The sequence below is a fragment of the Homo sapiens genome, chromosome 12 (assembly GCF_000001405.40).
Source record: "Homo sapiens chromosome 12, GRCh38.p14 Primary Assembly".
Lineage (NCBI taxonomy): Eukaryota > Metazoa > Chordata > Mammalia > Primates > Hominidae > Homo > Homo sapiens.
This window is the reverse complement of record NC_000012.12, coordinates 113,587,049-113,606,548: the sequence shown is the minus strand read 5'-3', so window position 1 is coordinate 113,606,548 and position 19,500 is coordinate 113,587,049. Positions and strand designations below refer to the sequence as shown.

General features: G+C 45.1%; 2 annotated features.

Moving 5' to 3' along the window:
• Window positions 4,578-4,778: a silencer, noted in NCBI's record as "peak1973 fragment used in MPRA reporter construct". NCBI's record gives its function as "represses an SCP1 promoter by STARR-seq MPRAs in K562 erythroleukemia cells {active_cell/tissue: K562}" and the evidence as "EXISTENCE:reporter gene assay evidence [ECO:0000049][PMID:32103011]".
• Window positions 18,181-18,958: an enhancer, noted in NCBI's record as "OCT4-NANOG-H3K27ac hESC enhancer chr12:114025396-114026173 (GRCh37/hg19 assembly coordinates)". NCBI's record gives its function as "activates a minimal SCP1, AML or CMV promoter by ChIP-STARR-seq in naive H9 embryonic stem cells {active_cell/tissue: H9 hESC(naive)}" and the evidence as "EXISTENCE:reporter gene assay evidence [ECO:0000049][PMID:30033119]".

Below are 19,500 nucleotides of genomic sequence, written 5' to 3'. Positions count from 1 at the left end.
ATGCCTTCGTCCCTTTTCCTGGACTCATTTGCAACCAATGCCTTCTGCCTAGAAGAAGAGCCACCTAGTTAACTCTTCCTCCACATCGATGCTCAAACATGCCTCAGCCTTCTTGAACACACACGGCCCCACCCTCACTGGGATATTGGGTCCCCTTGTTATTATATAATCTCTAGTTATTCCCTGTACTTTTTCCTTCTACGTTTTATCACAGCTTGTAATTATATGCTTATGGGAATATTTTTTGAATCTGTCTCTCCCCCTTGCTCATAAACTCCTAGGGCAGGGGCTGGCTCTTTTGTTTCCTGCTGTATTCCTAGATCCTCGTGCAGACCTGACACATCACAGGTGCTCAAAGAATATTAATGCAAGCATGAACGAACAAATGCTTCATTCTTTCCAGGTGTAGCACTTGGAAAAGCACCCCTTTCTTAGTGATACAACCTCAGTTTCTTGCTGAAAGCACAATGCAGCCACTCTGGTCTCTCTATATGAACTTCATTTATTAGATTTAAAGTCCTTTTTTTGAAGTTCTCATTTTTATTTATATTTCATTTTATTTTTGAGACAGAGTCTCTCTCTGTCGCCCCGGCTGGAGTGCAGTGGCACGATCTCGGTTCACTGCAGCCTCCACTTCCCGGGTTCAAGCAATTCTCCTGCCTCAGCCTACCAAGTAAATGGGACTACAGGCACCTGCCACCACACCCGGCTAATTTTTGTATTTTCAGTAGAGATGGGGTTTTGCCATGTTGGCCAGGCTGGTCTCAAACTCTCAACCCCAAGCGGTCCACCTGCCTTGGCCTCCCAAAGGGCTGGGATTACAGGCATGAGCCACTTTGCCTGGCCCAAGGTTCTCATTTTTAAATTTCCATTGTATTGGATGCCCAGCACAGGAGGGAATGGGTGATGCCCTGGTTAGGATGCATACGTGGTACACTGGCCACTAGCACGAGGTCTTCATGCATGTGATACCTCCCACCCCCAAACAAGTCTTAAGAATTTTCTTGGGGCCTCATTTTCTTCATATGAAGAATAAGGCCAACAATACTTAGCTTGCTTACTTGGAAGAAATCAATAAGTGGGAGGCTGGACATAGTGGCTCACACCTGTAATCTCAGTACCTTGGGAGTCCAAGGTGGGGTGATTGCTTGGGCTGGGAGTTCGAGACCAACCTGAGCAATATAGCGAGACACCCCACCCCCCGCCCCATCTCTGCAAAAAGATAAACAAAAATTAGCCAGGCATGGTGACACATGCCTGTAGTCCCAGCCCTTTGGGAGGCCAAGGCAGGTGGACCACTTGGGATTGAGAGTTTGAGACTAGCCTGGCCAACATGGCAAAACCCCATCTCTACTGAAAATACAAAAATTAGCTGGGTGTGGTGGCAGGTGCCTGTAGTCCCATTTACTTGGGAGGCTGAGGCAGGAGAATCACTTGAGCCCGGGAATTTGAGGCTGTGGTGAACTATGATGGTGCCACTGCACTACAGCCTGGGCAGCAGAGATGCTGTGTCCAAAAATATAAAATAATAAAATAAAATATAAATAGTTGTTGATCATAAGGTAGGGAAGGATGGTGGCAAGAGAGATCATAGGTGTTTAGGAGCCTGGCAGATCTGAGTTTGAATCCCAGCCTCATCACTTACCAGCTGTGTGAGCTTGCACAAGTGATTTCATCTCTCTGAGCCTCAGTTTCCTTATCTGTAAAATGGGTACAGTAAGAGTGCCTGAGAATTCACAATACCACATGTAAAGCATCAAGTATATATAGCAAGAGCTTGATAAGTGGCAACTAGTAAGACTGCAAATATTAAAATAAAATTTAAGAGGAAAAATTGTCTCAGGTCCATCTGAGCTTGGGTATCTGTGATAAAAAGAACAGGAGCTGTGTGTTATTGATCACTACCACTATCTATATACCAGGGATCGTGTTATTTGTGTACTATGCATTTCGCATATTTTCTTCTAGTACAACATGCTTGATTGAGTTGAATCAGTCAATATTTAATGAGAACTGACCATGTACCAGACACTGTTCTAGGTGCCAGGAATATAGCCAAGAACAAGATGAACAAGAAGCCCTGTTTCTCGTCTAGAGAATTCACAGTCTAGAGCCCTATATTCAGGAAGAAACTGAGCTTAGCAATCTCCAACGTATTGATTTTAGATCACTCTTCTCCCACCTTCAACCCAATCAAAAAATGCCCCTCAGTATCATAGAAAGTATGTTGATTTTTGAAACAAAAATTTTAGGGATAGTGGGATAGGGACAGGGATCTATTGTTCAAGCCTCACCAACTCTGCTGCCACTCAAGGCCTTTAGCAAAGGGGAAGGAAAAAGGAAACTGGAATTTGGAAGACAACGGAGTGCATCAAATGGAGGAAGGTGCCTTCCCCACAAACCAAGGAGACACATATGCATGCTCACACACACACAGGCCCACACACACACGCACACACACACACACCTCAATTATACCTTGAGAAGCAAAGCTAATGGAAGCTAGATTGATTCAAAGATAACAATTAGGGAACAATTTTAATTCCTGCTGTGATTGAGACACACAGTTTATTTTTAATTTGTATCCATAATAAAAATAATCATTAAAAGGGCTGGCAAACTGCAGCTTTTGCCAAGAAATTAGATTTACACTGCCCACCTTCACCCCATCAGAAATGCGATCTTCTCTCCTGCCTTCCATCTCTTCTGCCGGCGCAACCCCATCATGACTCGCTCCCGCTCCAAAGCCACAGACCCCATTTTAAATGTAGAGATTCATTAATTAAAGGAGATGGGAAGTGAACTTTTTTTTAGCATCTACTATGTGCTGGGTATGAGGCTAAATACATTCACATCGATTATTTCATTTAACCCTCGTGACAACCCCGTGAAGAGAGAATCCCAGTTTACCCTCATCTTACAGAGGTGGAAACAGATGCATAGCTCTTTGCTGAAGGTTACACAGAGAGAATAGGACAGGGCTGGGTCTGTGACAAGGTCTGGTTGACCAGATTTATTCTTCTAATTGCCTTTCCTGAGTGTAGGTATTAAGCTTTGTCCTCCTTGACAAAAACGCTGCCTCACCCGCAATAGAATTTACCCCAATTTCCACTTAGAGTTGCATTTCCACTCCAAGGCTGAAGTGTGAAGCAAACAGCTGGAAGGAAGGCTTACCAGCATTCAGGTCCTCAGACTTTGGCTGATTCTCTAATATGGTGAGTCAATTGATTATTATAAAATAATTAGGAGAAGGTGGAAGGAAGAGGAAGAGAAGGAAGAAAAGGAGGAATAATAAGAAGAAGAGAAAGAGAAAGGAGAAGGAAGGACAAAGGGAAGAAAGAAGAGAAGGGAAAGAAATGGAGGAGGAAGAAGAGAAGAATAAGAACAGAAAGGAGAAAGAGAAGGAAGAAAGACAAGATGGAGGGGAGGATGGAGAAAATGAGGAAGAGGAGGAAGGAAAGAGCCTCAGTCCAGGCTGCTTTGTTTCCAACATCTCTTCATTGGCATGATGTCCCAGTCTTGCCTGTATTTGCATGCTTAGTTCAGAGTCTTCCTCCCTCAGGAAGACCTCCATAAAGTTAACCCCTAACTGAAAATAGCTGTCTTCCTGATTCCCCATAGCATTTCGTATCTTACCTGTGGTAGTTTATACCTTAGTGCTGTGGTTATTTGTTTAACTGTCTACCTTCCCTACTAAGTGTTACAGCTTTTTAAAAGAATTTATATAACAGGTTTTCAGTTTTCACTAGAAAACCACTCACATGAAAAGGGGAAAAAATCTTCTACTAGGCTTTGAAGTCCCCCAAATTTGGGACCTGTATTTACATCCTCCAAGGTGCCCAGCACCATGCCTCATGCTTTTCCTAGGAAATCTTTTCCTTCTGTCACGGCACCTTCCTCCTTAGCCCATCATGTCCCTTGATCAAACTTCTTGAAAGAGGTGGGAGAAGGTACAGAATCAATTAATAATTAATAGTAATAGATAAATGATGTTGGAACTGGTGGTAGTGATGATGATAATAATAGTAATTACTATTATTTTTCCAGCTGTTGAATGTTCATAGCTGAACTATTGAGGCCATTGACATAATAGTATAAGCGTTATACTCTCTACTCACATGGGTTCATTCAAATCCCATTTCTACCACTTACCAGTTGCATGACCTTGGCCAAGTTCTTTAGCCTTTCTGTGCCTCAATTTCTCATCTGTAACAGGGTTGTTATAGATAATGAGTGAGATATTGCATTTACAGCATTTAAGACAGAGCCTAGGATATAGTAAGGACTCGATAAGTGGAGGTTGCTATCATCATTATTATTAATCATAGCTACCAACTCCACCTCCAGAATAATAGCCACAAATGCCCCTTATTGAGCACTTACTTTACCAGGTACCTTGCTTTGCTTTTTTATAGGCAGGATTTCATTAATCTTCAAGCCAACCAATTATTAACCCATTCTATAAACTTTCCCAGCTCATAAGTGACAGAGCTAGAATAAGATATCAGAATCCAAGAATCCAGATTCTTGCCCTGAGAGGCAAGAAAGAGGAAAGCCAACTGAAGAAGCTTGCACAAAATGACACCAGGAGATCTCTAAAAACTATAGGATTATGTATAGCTCACCTTAGAAGGTCCCCGGTCCTGGCTTGGCTTGGCCTCTGTCCTTGGTGCTGAAAATTGCGCCCATCCCAGACCCTCAATATCACATCTCCATGGAGCCAGGGGGCCCTCACCATCTCTTAGAAGACCATGTCTTTATCCATGGGTGCTGTCAACTAATTTGGACCCAAGGTGCTGGTTGTAGTAACTTCTCAGGATCCCTTGAGTCCTGACCACAGATCCAAGCCCTGCCCCAGCCACCACCAACCACAGAAGTGCCTACCCTGAATTCAGTCCTCCTTAACAATATTCACTAGACAACTGTAAATGTCACAAGCCCCTTACACATACAGAGTATCAAAGGCTGTGTGTTCTCCTGGAATCTCAGCACAGACATGACACCAGATCCCTCCTGGACAAGGCAAAAGTCTCCCTGTTCAAACCAGGGTGTAGAATGTCACCATCACAGATGAAGTAGACATCTGCCCCTTTGGTCTGGCTATAGGGGCAGTAGAAACTTAGTCTTCAGGATCTAGAACTACTTCCCTTTCAGCTCAATAAAGCCTAATGTTCCTTTACCAGGAAACCAAGATCAAGTTTAGGAGGCAAAAGATCAGGCTGGTCTTGTGTCTAGTCTAAGATGTGAATGACTGATAGCTGTCCATTTCTGGAACAGTAGAAAGTGCAGGTGTCTGGAAGTCAGAGAGATCCAGGGTAGTGCCACTTATCACCTTGAACATGCGCACAGAAAGGGCCTGGCCTATGCTTGGTGTAGGATGGTTGATAAGTAAGTCAGTCCCTCTCTCCAGGCCACTTCTTCTCTGTGTAGCCCTCAGTCTGCCCCCTCCTCTCTCCTTATACTCCTTTACAAACACTCTTCTTGCTCACTCAATTGCCTAAAAACGAATGGCCTTTCTGTCCCTCCTAATCAACATCTTTGGAAAGGAGTTATTTCATTGATTACCATCCTGGTGGATAGATTTGTTTGAACAAATAAATTGCCCTTTTTGTAGGTCAAACCCAGTCAAATACAGGCAACTTCATATTACAACAGTAGAAACACGTGCCCCAAGACTTCTCACTTGGCCTTTCTAGAAACAAGAAGTAGATTCATATCTTTGGAGAGGCCACCTTAGCCAATTGTTGGGTGGGGATGGTGAGAGAGAAGAGCTTGCCATCTTATATGAATCATCACAATAAAATTTACAGACAACAAAACCAAGAGCCACTGCCTAACCACCCCCACCTGACACATACACATAGTCCCCGAGGCACAGGCTGGCAATTGAGCCATTTCTTTCTTTCTTTTTTTAGACAGGGTCTGGCTCTGTCACCAAGGCTAGAATGCAATGATGTGATCTTGGCTCACTGCAACCTCTACCTCCCAGGCTCAAGCCATCCTCCCACCTCAGCCTCCCTAGTAGCTGGCACTACAGGTGCTCACCACCACACCCAGCTAATTTTTGTATTTTTTGTAGAGACGGGGTTTTGCCATGTTGCCTAGGCTGGTCTTGAACTGCGGGGCTCAAGCAATCCACCCACCTCAGCCTTCCAAAGTGCTAGGATTACAGGTGTGAGCCACTGCACCCAGCCCAATTGAGCCATTTCTGAAGGAAGAAAAAAATATTCTCCTCAAACCTAGCAACAAATTGGCTTAAACAATCTGCATCATCATCTCCCATCTCCACGGCTAATCATATTGGTAAATGGTTGGGTGTTTTTTTTCCTGTGGCCACTGCCTTGAAGGAGGGGAGATGGAACCAGGGTGGGGGACAGGAAAAAGGAAAATGTTTCGTGATAGATACTGATTCAAGAATGCCTTTGCTCTTCTTGGTTAACTTCCTTGCAGACCCAGAGAATTGGCTTGGTCAGACAGCTCGCCCTGTGTGGCACAAACAAGAAACATTAATTAAAAATAATTGCCACCCCCTCCCCAGAATTAAGAATGTGATGTTCAGATTCATTTTAAGAAAGGCAATTTGATGCCAATAAATTACAATTATAAAAACTTCATTACAGTCAAGAGCAATCTATCCACCATTGTCCTAATTACACATTGTAGGAATAATGAATGCTAATGATTTAATGTACAATAATTACCAGGATTGAAAAATAAAATATAATAATCGTCATTATTATTGTTATCAATAACATAGATTTTTGGCATGGTTAATCTCCACTTGAGGCTGAGATGAAATTTCAGGGTTTTGTGGGGATTTTTTTATCCCCACTTAGAAACACTCCCTTTTCTTCTCCTCCCCCTTCCAGCTCCAACTTTATTAAGACAAGAAATCCACAGCACGGAATAGAAACGTCTTGCTTCTCCTAGAGGGTCAGAGTTGAAGGGTTAAATCCACATCTCCTATCCCCTGTACAGCAGATCACCTTTGGTTTCTTACCAAACATCTTTTTGTGTAGGAAAGAAAGAAAAAGCAATTACTCTGATGTAGAGAACAGGATTACGTCTTCGCCAAAGTCACTTTTTAGTTCCTGTATGAAACCATCCATGGCCTCCTATTGCAAAGGGAAAATATCCAAGCCTGATCTACACAGTGCAGGGCTGTGTCAAGGAGTCAGGGACCGGGAGCCACACTGCCTGGATTTGAGTCCCGATTTTGCCACCTACTAGCTGTAGGGAGCGTGACCGAATCTGTTCCTGTGTCTATGCTTCGGTTTGCTCTCTGTAAAACGGAGCTTGAAATACTGCCTGACTCAGGGTTTCGTAAGTTTAAAAGTGTAAACACTTGTGAAGTGCTCAGAACAGTGCTGACACGTGGTCACTGCCCCAAAACTAGAACCAAGATCTTTCATGAGCTTGGCTGCCTCTATCTTCCCCTTCCCCTCTGTCATACACACCCCGCAATCAAGCCCCAACAGTCAACTCATCATCCTCTGAAGATGGTCTGCACAATCTCAACTCCAGAGCTTTGCTCATGCAGTGCCCTCCACAAGGAGTGCTGTTCATCTCCCAGCTGGGCTTGATCACTCATTCTCTGGGAAGCCACCCCATTGCTCCCAGGCAACGCCAACATTTCCTTCTAGGGCATTGCCACAGCACTTCTGTCGTACTACTTGTACCTCTGCAGATCTTGCTGCTTGTCCTTTCCATTTTGTGTTAGGATTATTTGTTTCTATGTTTTACAACTGTATATACCCAAGTATGTTGCAAACACTTTGGGTTTGTTTTGTTGTTGTTGTTTTTATTTTGTTTGTTTGTTTTTCTTGTTTGTTTGTTTGTTTGTTTTGAGGCAGAGTCTCGCTGTCAGCCAGGCTGGAATGCAGTGGCACGATCTCAGCTCACTGCAACCTCCACCTCCTGGGTTCAAGTGATTCTCCTGCCTCAGCCTCCCTACTAGGGAGGCTACTAGCTGGGATTACAGGTGCACGCCACCATGCTGGGCTAATTTTTAGTAGAGACAGGATTTCACCATGTTGGCCAAGCTGGTCTCCAATTTCTGACCTCGAGTGATCTGCCCACTTGGTCCTCCCAAAGTGCCAGGATTACAGGTGTGAGCCACCATGCCCACCTAACACTTTGAAAGCAAGAATCATATTTTCCCCATCCTTGTATTCCTCTCATCTCCACCTTATACCCCCTAATCAATACTCTATGTCTAGAATGATGCTTCTATATACATTTTTAGAATTTCAGAAATGCAAAGGAAACTCTTCTTTACAACGCTTATTGGTTTGATCCTGATTCTACAAGTAACACATCCTTATTATAGAACAGTTGAAAAATAAAGACAAGTATAAGGAGAAAAAATAAGATAAACTACCTTTCCATAGCCTAAAGACGACCACGCTAAACAAGCTTGTATATTTCTGTCTTATCCTTTACAGAGAATTTTAGACAACTGTCCTGCCATTTATGGACTTTGGTCATAGCAAATAATCTTCACTAGCATTTACCATGTTCGTCACATGCCAAATGCTAAGAATTTTACTAGTGTTATTGTATTTAATCCTGACTGCAACCTGTATAATAGGTGTTACTTGCATCTCCATTGTAAGGATGAGAAAATCAAGGATTAGAGAGGCTAAGCATTTTCCCAACATCACACAGCCATGTGTGGCACAGCCAGGATTCAACACAGGTATCTGCACTCCTAGCTCACATTTTGTCTTTCAGCAGGCATTTCATCATGCGTATTTTTCCCAGGTCATTAAATTATTTTAATAATTTGCCCAGCAATCCATCCTATGCACATATCATCATTATTTCATCCCACCTCTACAATTGGATATTTTGCTTGTATATGATTTTTCACCATAAGAAACAATTCTTTGAAGGCCATCCTTGTTCATAAATCCTTGTCCACATTCTGAATATTTCCTTGGGATACCTTCTGAGAAGTAAAATTCTGCAGCCAGAGGGCATGAACATTTTTATTAATCTGCTTTATTGAGGTATAATTTGCGTAGAATAGAATTAACCAATTCTAAGTGTGCAAGTCAATGAGTTTTGTCAAATTATACACAACCACTACAATCATGAAATAGAAGATTTCCATCACTTGAAAACTGCTTCTTTGGCATCATTCCCTCTCCCACCCCACACCCAACCCCCTTCCAGCCCCCGGCAACCAAGTTTTGCTTTCCATCACTATAGTTTTGCCTTTTTTAGAATTTTATATCAGTGGGATCATACACTATGTAACCTTTCATTCCTGACTAATTTCGCTCAGCATTGTGGTTTTGAAATTCATCTATGGTGTGGTGTACATCGGTAGTAAATTTATTTTTACTCTCGAGTAGCATTCCCTTGTATGTGGAAGTAACACTGCTTGATATCCATTCACTATTTGGTGGACATTTGAATTCTTCCCAGTTTGGAGGTATATTGAGTAAAACCACTGTAAAAAATTCAGCATAGGCCAGGAGCGGTGGCTCATGCCTGTAATCCCAGCACTTTGGCAGGCGGAGGCGGGCGGATCACCTGAGGTCAGTTCAAGACCAGTTCAAGACTGGTCAACATGGTGAAACTCTATCTCTACTAAAAATACAAAAATAGCCGGGCGTGGTGGCAGGCACCTGTAATCCCAGCTACTCAGGAGGCTGAGGCAGGAGAATCACTTGAACCCAAGAGGCAGAGGTTGCAGTAAGCCAAGAACGCACCATTGCACTTCAGCCTGGGTGACAAGAGTGAAACTCCATCTCAAAAATAATAGTAATAATAATAATAATAATAATTCAGTATAAGTCTTTGTGTGAATATCATTTTCATTTTTCTTGAATAACTACCTCAGTGTGGGACTGCTGGATCTGATAAATGTACGTTTAACCTTATAAGAAAAACAGTTTTACTTTTGGTTACTCAGTTTTGTTGTAGTCCTTTAAATAGTGCTGAGTTTTGTTCTAGCAAACAGTTAAGTTACTTAGAACCAATTGTAGCTTTCAAATCTTGTTTTTATGTTTTCTTAGGGCAGTGTCAAAGCAGCAGTCTTTCATCTAGGGATAACTTATCCCCACTCCTACAGCTATACTCTTCTGAGGACCCTACCCCATGGCTGGTCTCTTATGAGGGTTGTCCATGGTCACATGAGCTATCCCAGCCCTATGTGAGATCTAGGAATTGTTCTACCTACTCCTTTTGGTGGTTCTCTCCTTGGCTTCAGGAAGTTACCTCTGGCAAATGCACAGAACCCAGAACCAAGGACATAAGAGCACCTCTCTCCTGATTTCTGGAGTTATCTCCCCAGGAAGGTCTCTACTCTCCAGTTCCCCCATCCCATAAATTCTACCCCCTTGGACTCCTTGAACTCCTAACTCTATCTTGACTTCACTCAGGAAGTTCTCAAGCGCTTTGGGTTTCCCCTCCCTGTGCTATGGCTTGGAAACCCAGAGGTCTCCTCGTTTTCCTTCTTTCAGTGACACAGACCTAGACTGCCTGTTGTTCAGTGCCTAAAACTGTTGCTTTTAAATATTTTGTCTGAAATTTACAAGCACAAAACAAACAACACCACTAAAAAGTGGTCAAAGGGCTGGGGGTGGTGGCTCACGCCTGTAATCCCAGCACTTTGGGAGGCCGAGGCGGGCGGATCACCTGAGGTCAGGAGTTTGAGACCAGCCTGGCCAACATCGTGAAACACTGACTCTACTAAGAATACAAAAAAAAAAAAATTAGCCAGGCATGGTGGCACACACCTGTAATCCCAGCTACTCAGGAGGATGAGACAGGAGAATCGCTTGAACCTGAGAGGCAGAGGTTGCAGTGAGCCAAGATCGCACCATTGCATTCCAGCCTGGGCAACAACAGCGAGACTCCATCTTAAAAAATAAATTAAATAAATAAATAAATAAATAATCAAAGGACATGCACAGACACTTTTCAAAAGTAAACATACATGGAGCCAATAAGTACATGAAAAAACGCTCAACATCACTCATCACTAGAGAAATGCAAATCAAAACCACAATGAGATACCATCTCACACCAGTCAGAATGGCTATTGTCAAAATGTCAAAAAATAACAGAGCTGGCAAGGTTGCCAGAGAAAGGAGAATGCTCATGTACTGTTGGTGAGAGTGTAAATTAGTTCAACCATTGTGGAAAGCAGTGTGGCAATTCCTCAAAGAGCTGAAAAGAGAACATTCAACCCAGCAATCCCATTACTGGGAATATATCCAAAGGAATATCAATCATTCTACCATAAAGACACATGCACATGCACATTCATGCACTATTCATTACAGCAAAGACATTGAATCAACCTAAATGCCCATCGATGATAGACTGGATAAAGGAGATGTGGTACATATATACAGTGGAATACTACACAGCCATAAAAAAGAACAAGATCATGTATTCTGCAGGAACATGGAAGGAGCTGGAGGCCATTATCCTTAGCAAACTAACACAGGAACAGAAAACCGAATGCCACATGTTCTCACTTATAACTGGGAGCTAGATGATGAGAACACATGGACACAGAAAGAGGAACAACAGACACCATTGCCTACTTGAAGGTGGACAGTGGGAGGAGGGAGAGGATCAGAAAAAAATAACTATTGATTACTAAGCTTAGTACCTGGGTGACAACATCATAATCTGTACATCAAACCCCCATGACGCAAGTTTACCTATGTGACAAATCTGTACATATACTCCTGACCCTAAAATAAAAGTTAAAACTAAATAAGTAAAAGTAAATAAATAAATATTTGGTCTGGTTTTCCAGTTGTTTAAGGCAGGATAATAAATCTGGTCTCTGTTATGCCACCTTTTCTGGAAGCAAGAGCTTAGTAGAAGCATTTTTGAGAATTTTGATCAATATTTGATAAACATATACTGCGGGAGGGGGAACCTTCTCCTCCATAACCCCCAAAAAAGTGTCTCCTTCAACTAATATATATATTTGAGACAGGGTCTCACTTTGTCACCCAGGCTGGAGTGCAGTAGCACCATCTTGACTCACTGCCACCTCGACCACCTGGGTTCAAGTAATCCTCCTTCCTCAGCCCCCCAAGTAGCTGGGACTACAGGCAGGTGCCACCACACCCAGCTAATTTTTGTATTTTTAGTAGAGACAGGGTTTCACCATGTTGCCCAGGCTGGTCTCAAACTTCTGAGCTCAAGCCATCCTCCTGACTCAGCCTCCTAAAGTGCTAGGGTTTCAGGCATGAGCCACTGCACCTGGCTATCAATTAATATTTTAAAAATATCAAGAAACATGAATTTAAAGGAGTTTAAATAAACATGCTCAAAAGAGGAAAAAAGTATAACTCTAAATTAGGTGAGAGAAGGGGTTGGAAAGGAGACAGCCAGGATTGTGATGTAAAATGAAATTAGGGTTCAAACAGGTCCTTAACTTGCCTGCTCTGCTGCTCCCATGGAATCTCTCAGAGTGGATGTTTGTAGCAAAGTTTACCTGGCAGCTCTTTTAAAATGCATATTCTCACCAGGCAGGGTAGCTCACACCTATAATTTCAGCATTTGGGAGGCCAAGGCAGGGAGTATGACTTGAGCCCAAGAGTTCAAGACCAACTTGGGCAAATCTGTCTCTTCAAAAAATACAAAAATTAGCCAGGTATGGTGGTACACCTGTAGTTCCAGTTACTCGGGAGGCTGAAGCAGAAGGATCACACCGAAACTGGGAAGTTGAGGCTACAGTGAGCCATGATTACACCACTGCACTCCAGCCTGGGCGGCAGAGCAAGACCTTGTCTCAATAAAAGAATAAATAAAATAAAAAGCATATTCTCAGGCCCTACCTCAAACCTACATAGGGCTCAAATTCTAGGAGGGGGACCCCATGTAGAACCTGCCTTTTCTGCATGTTTCTCCAATTGCTTCTGACCTGATAAACTGACAGAATATGACCTAGGTGGGTGCCGAAGGGGATACCATATTTGGCCCCAAATAGTGAGTCAGTGGCAGGACTACTGGGCTTGGAAATGGAGACTTCTGACTTCCCACTCTGGTCAGCTTCTACAGTGGCAGTTGCTATCAATCCTCCCTTAACACCAGAATCACCTGCAGCTTTGGAAGACTGAGACTCAGGACCTCTCCCAGCAATGCAGATTGAATTGGTCTGAGGAGGGGCCTAGGTATCTGAACTTTCTCAGACTCCCCAGGTAATCCCAACGTGAGCCTGGGCTATGACACAGGCTCTAACCTGGGTGTCAGTGGGTCTGGGAGCCCCTGAAGTACATGTTTATAGCATGTGGGATGTCTCAGTCTGGATGCAACTTGAATTCTTATAAAAGGAGGCACAATGATCCATTTTCTGAGATCAAGGCAGTGAACAAGGGAAACCCTGCATTTGTTAGGGCAATTCTATGCTTTTCTTTTCTTTTCTCTTTTCTTTTCTTTTCTTTTCTGTTGCCCCAGGCTGGAGGGCAGTGGCATGATCTTGGCTCACTGCAATCTCTGCCTCCGGGCTCCAGCGATTCTCCTGCCTCAGTCTCCCAAGTAGCTGGGATTACAGGCGTGCACCACCATGCCCGCCTAATTTTTGCATTTTTTTAGTAGAGACAGGGTTTCATCATGTTGGCCAGGCTGGTCTCCAACTCCTGACCTCAAGTGATCCGCCCACCTCAGCCTCCCAAAGTGCTGGGATTACAGGTGTGAGCCACCGCGCCCGGCCATATTGTGCTTTTCAAACCTTACTGGGCATAAAAAACCCCCTTGAGAGCTTGTCAAAACACAGATTCCTTGGATGCACCCCTAGAGATTCTAATTTCAGAGGTCTCGGGGTACGGCCTGAGAATTTGCATTTCTAACAAATTCTCATGAGGCCGAACCTGCTGGTCTAGAACCACACTTCGTGCATCACCAAGCTATGGGGAGAGAAGACACTGAAAGGTCAGACCCAAGCTCTACCAGTGCCTCAGCCGGGCATAGGGAAGTCACTCCCCCATCTGTCAAATACCTTGATCTCTGGGATGCCTTTATGTCTGTGTTGTGGGTCAGCTCCACTCCAACCTGACGATTCCTCCACCCTAAATCCTCACCTGCCCTCCCCAGCAGCACCCTCATGTCTCCCTGCACCCATCTGCAGCATCCGCCAAGAGTCTCAAAAACCCTGGAACCTTTTGATCATAAAATAATAATAATAAATCATAGCCATTGCTCACTTCAAGAAGTCAGACACTGTTTTGTTCATCTCTTTATCTGCAAAGCCTAGAATAGCACTAGATCCACAGTAGGCACTCAAGGTGAACTCACGAAACGAATGAATCAGAGTCAGTGGGACTAAGCCTTCACAAGGCGCAGTTCCTTTAAGCCTTACCCTCCAGACAAATGGGAGCTATGTTTTATTCTCATGTTACAGATGGGGAAACTGAGGCTCTAAGAGGTGGATGCCCTCGCCCAGGGTCACACAGTCAGGGCCTGGCAGAGGCTGGGTTTGGAACCCAGGTCTGTGAGAGCCCAACTCCCCTACGCCTGGGAATAGACTTGGGTTTGGTTGCAGGGGAGATGAGACGGTGTCGGGGTAGTGAATTAGCAGAAGCTCCTCCGAGGTGCCGAGGTGCTGAGGGAGATAAAAATAGCCTGCGGGCTGCGCTGGAAGGTATACTGGAAGCCCCCAGCGTTCGCCGGCGACTGGCGTCCTAATTTATGGCACCCGGAGAATCGAGCTCGGCGAGCGCCTCTCCTAGGCGGGTTGAGCTGCAGGTGAGGACAATGTAATTAAGAAATCAAAAGGTAATTTCCACACACGCTGCCGCTCGCCGGACCCCGCGGTCGCTTAATTGATGGTGGGGCCGGCCGAGCCCGCGCAGCCGCCGCCAGTGCCAATGCGCCCCGGTGAGCCCAGGAGCGCCGCGCCCACCCGGCGACTCGTGGCTTCTCTGTCTCTCCTCGGGAGGCGGGGAAACTTGGCCGCGGCCCCATGGGCTTCCGGGAGCTCAGGGGAGGGCGACAGGGCGTGACGCTAGGGACACTCTAGCCTCTGCTTCCTCCCCACCCACCCCCCGCCACCGCCGCCGACATAACATATGATCATCTATTTGTCTCTCTCCCTTGTTCCTGTATTCCACTTCCTATTTCTCTCTGCACGCATGTTTTTCTTTCTTTCTTTCTTTTTTTCTTTCTTTCTTTCTTTCTTTCCTTCCTTCCTTCCTTCCTTCCTCCCTCCCTCCCTCCCTCCCTCCCTCCCTTCTTTCTTTCTTTCTTTCTTTTTTCTTTCTTTCTTTCTTTCTTTCTTTCTTTCTTTCTTTCTTTCTTTCTTTCTTTCTTAGACGGAGTGTCACTCTGTCGCCCAGGCTGGAGTGCAGTGGCGCGATCTCGGCTCACTGCAAGCTCCACCTCCAGGGTTCACGCCATTCTCCTGCCTCAGCCTCCCGAGTAGCTGGGACTACAGGCGCCTGCCACCATGGCCAGGTAATTTTTTGTATTTTTAGTAGAGACGAGGTTTCACCGTGTTAGCCAGGATGGTCTCGATCTCCTGACCTCGTGATCCGCCGACCTCGGCCTCCCAAAGTGCCGGGATTACAGGCGTGAGCCACCGCGCCCGGCCCATGTTTATTTCTTTTTCTCCCCGTACCCCTACTTTTTTTTGAAACAGTGTCTTGCTCTGTCGCCCAGGTTGGAGTGCAGTGCGGGATCATAGCTCACTACAGCCTCGACCTTCTGGGCTTAAACGATCCTCCCACCTCAGCCTCACAGTGCTCCAAGAATACAGGCATGAGCCATGACACCTGGCCTCTTTCCCCTTCTTTAGTTCACTCACTGGTCTCTATCATTTCCTCTCTCTTCTCCACTCCTTCCCCAGGTTTCTGTCTCCTTGTTTCTCTTTTTCTTTCAGTTACCAGAATTCTTACCGCTGGGCCTGGAAGAAAGAGCACTCAGGTGACCTTTAAACCTTAGGGGAAATCGCCGGGCGCAGAGGCTCAAGCCTGTAATCCCAGTACTTTGGGAGGCCGAGGCGGGTGGATCACCTGAGGTCAGGAGTTCAAGACCAGCCTGGGCAACATAGTGAAACCCCATCTCTACTAAAAATACAAAAAATTAGCTGGGTGTGGTGGCATGCGCCTGTAATCCCAGTTACTCAGGAGGCTGAGGCAGGAGAATCGCTTGAGCCCAGGAGGCTGAGGTTGTAGTGAGCCAAGATTGTGCCATTGCACTCCAGCCTGGCTGACAGAGCAAGACTCTGTCTCAAAAATAAAAATAAAAATAAAAATAAACCCTAGGGCAGATTGCATGTAAGTTACTGCCTCTCCACCTCCCCTTCCTGCATGTGGGATGAGTCATGGCAGCCCTGTAAGCAGGCAGCACTGGCTTGGGTAGACCAACCTGGACTCTCACATGGAATGATGAGTCTGTGCCCAGGAATGATGGGTGGGTGGGTAGGTGACTGGATGAATGGATTAATGGGAGGGTGATCAGTTGAGTATTTGGATGGATGGTTGATTGGTTGGTCAAAGAGATAGGTAGGTAGATAGTCTAGGGTTGATTGGGAATTGGGTGGGTGTGTGGCTGAGTGGGTAGATGGGTAGGTAAATGGATGCGTAGATGGATGTGGTGGGTAAATGAAGGAGAGGTTAATATAGGTGAATAATGAATAAATGGATGAGTAGATGATTGTGGGTTGGCTAAATCTGCAGGTGGATGGCTGGATAGATGAGTGGATACATAGATGGGTCAATGTGTGGATGGATAAATGGGTATATAAATGGATAAGTGGGTAAGTAAGAGAATGGATAGTGGGTAGATGGATGAATGGGTGAGTATTTGGATGGATGGATGGATGGATGGATGGATGGATGGATGGATGGATGAATGGATGGATGGATGAATGGAAAGGAGTATAGATTGGTGGGTATGTGGATGGATAAGTGAGTGAACAGACAGGAGGGCATTGATAGATGAACGTATGGATGGATAGATAGGTGAAAGATGGATAACTGGGTGTATGGATACATGGACTGATGGGGAAATGAATGGGTGAATAGTGAGTAGGCAGATGAATGAGAAAGTAGGATGTGTGGGTTGGGGGGAGTAGATGGATGGATGGATGGGTGGATGGATGAATGGATGGATGAGTAGGTAGTAAGAGGATGAATAAATGGATGAGTGGATGTATAGGAGTGCTAAAAATGTAGATGAATAGAGGAGTGGATGGATGGGTGGCCGGATAAATGGGGGAACTTATAGGAACAGAAGCATGTTCCTAGTGATGACATTAAGGAACAGATGTTTGATGACAAAGTCAAAACGTAAGTAGGTATAAACAAAAGTAACAGGAATCTGCCATCCTCCAAGAGATCTCCCAGCCCTGGGATCTCAAGGACTTTCTTCTCACAGAGGGGCAGGGCAGGCAGCTGTGCTATAGAAAAAGGAGTACTGGCCTGAGCCCTGTACAGACTTGGAGTGAGTCACTACTATTTCCTTTTCTTCCATTTCTTCAAATGTCAAATGGACATAATAACATCAGCCTCACTGGGTTGAGAAGAAAAGGTAAAGTAACAGGAATGAAGTCACCTTACCAACTGGAACACTCTCCACCATGCACCAATATCAATACATGGAATTTAGCACAGCCTTGTCACCACCCTAATTTCTTTGGTTGACGACCAACCAGACTCAAGGTCCAGCAGCTGACCCCTTCTTAAGCCATGAGCTTTCTTCTAAAGGCCCCTCCCTCACATCTTCACTTCCCCAAACTCTACCTGTTCTGTAGGGTCCAGTTCTCTCTCACATACCGGTACCTACAAGAAACCTTCTCCAGTTATCCCTCCCCCCATAACAGAGGACATTGAATGCCACAGCAAAGAATATGGACATTAATTAGGCCAGTGAAATGAGCTGCAGAAAGGTGGGGTTTTGTTTGTTTGTTTGTTTGTTTGTTTGTTTTAAAGACAGAGTCTTGCCCTGTTGCCCAGGCTGGAGTACAATGGCATGATCTCGGCTTACTGCAACCTCTGCCTCCTGGGTTCAAGTGATTCTCCTGCCTCAGCCTCCTGAGTAGCTGGGATTACAGGCACCCACCACCACACCCAGCTAATTTTTGTAATTTTAGTAGAGATGGGGTTTCACCAGGTTGGCCAGGTTGGTCTCGAACTCCTGGCCTCAGGTGATCCACCCGCCTCAGCCTCCCAAAGTGTTGGGATTACAGGCATGAGCCACCATGCCCCGCCTGCAGAAAGGTTTTAAATCCCTACCTGCCTCCTGGAACATGTTTGACCAGGACTCTGGCAATCTGTGTCCCTAGGTTCCTTTCCCATCTCCACTTTCAACACCACCTCCCCAAAATAGAAAAATGCCTTTTGTTCATCTCTGGGTTTTTGGCCCCCAGTACCGGGTTTTCAGTAAACACTTGCTGAGCACATCTAAGTCTGAAATGGGGAAGCGTGGAGGTTGGTAATACACAACACATCAGCAATACAGTTTTGCCTACTGACCCTTCTGCTGCTTGTCTTCTTCCCACTCTGTGTCAGTTTCTCAGAGGAGGAAACTCAGGCCAATAGAAATTGCCCAACGGCCCCCCAAAATCCTGCTGTCCCTTCCCCCATTCTGAACTAAGCTGTCAGGAATGTGACCACCAGAGCAGAAAGATCCTTTGTTACCACAGAGAGAGGTAAGTGAGGGAGGTTCCGTTGGAGGATTAGGGAAGAGCCTGCAGGCAATTCCTTTCTCGCTGGGGCTCAGCGGGGGCTGGAGCTGGATTTTCACCTGCTAAGAGCCTGCCTTAAGCTGCCTCCCACCTGCTGGGAATGCCCAAAGCCAGAGATCCAGGAGGCTCACCTGAGGTGGTCATTCTCGGGCCAGCACACCTGGGCAAAAGGAGAAGGAAAAGGAGTGGGGGAAGTGGGAAGGAGGAAGAGAGAGAGACTCAGACATATACCTTTAGTAGGGTGTAGACACTTGCATGCACATAATCACAAATACATATACATTGGTACACACTCAGATGCCTGCATGCGTGAATGAAGATTTACTTATATATGTGCTTGTGTGCACCTCTCTCATCCACACTTACATTTTCAGGCACAGAACCACATGCATATACACAATCACATATGCGAAGATGCCTACACCACACACTCACACACACACACACATATCAAATGTGCACATAGATACATATGTGCTCATAGACCACACACATGCACACACATAGTTATACACATGCCTAGACACAGGCTCACACACATATAGTCATTCACAGTCACATGTACACATGTGCATGTCTTCATATTCACATATATATGTGCACAGCCCTGCTTGCCTCCAACCCCTCCCCAACTGCTGGCTGCCTTTTGTCCAGAAATTTAAAAAATTCTTCCTTTAGTTTTGCAAATTCACTACATGTATGTAGCATCCGTGCATATGCTGCGTCTCCACTGAAGATTCAGTGGTGACCCTCCTCAAAGACATAGAGCCATAGGATTCAGGGATGATGAAGGGGAGGGGCAGGGAGCCACAGAAACAAAGGAATCAATACTACCTGCT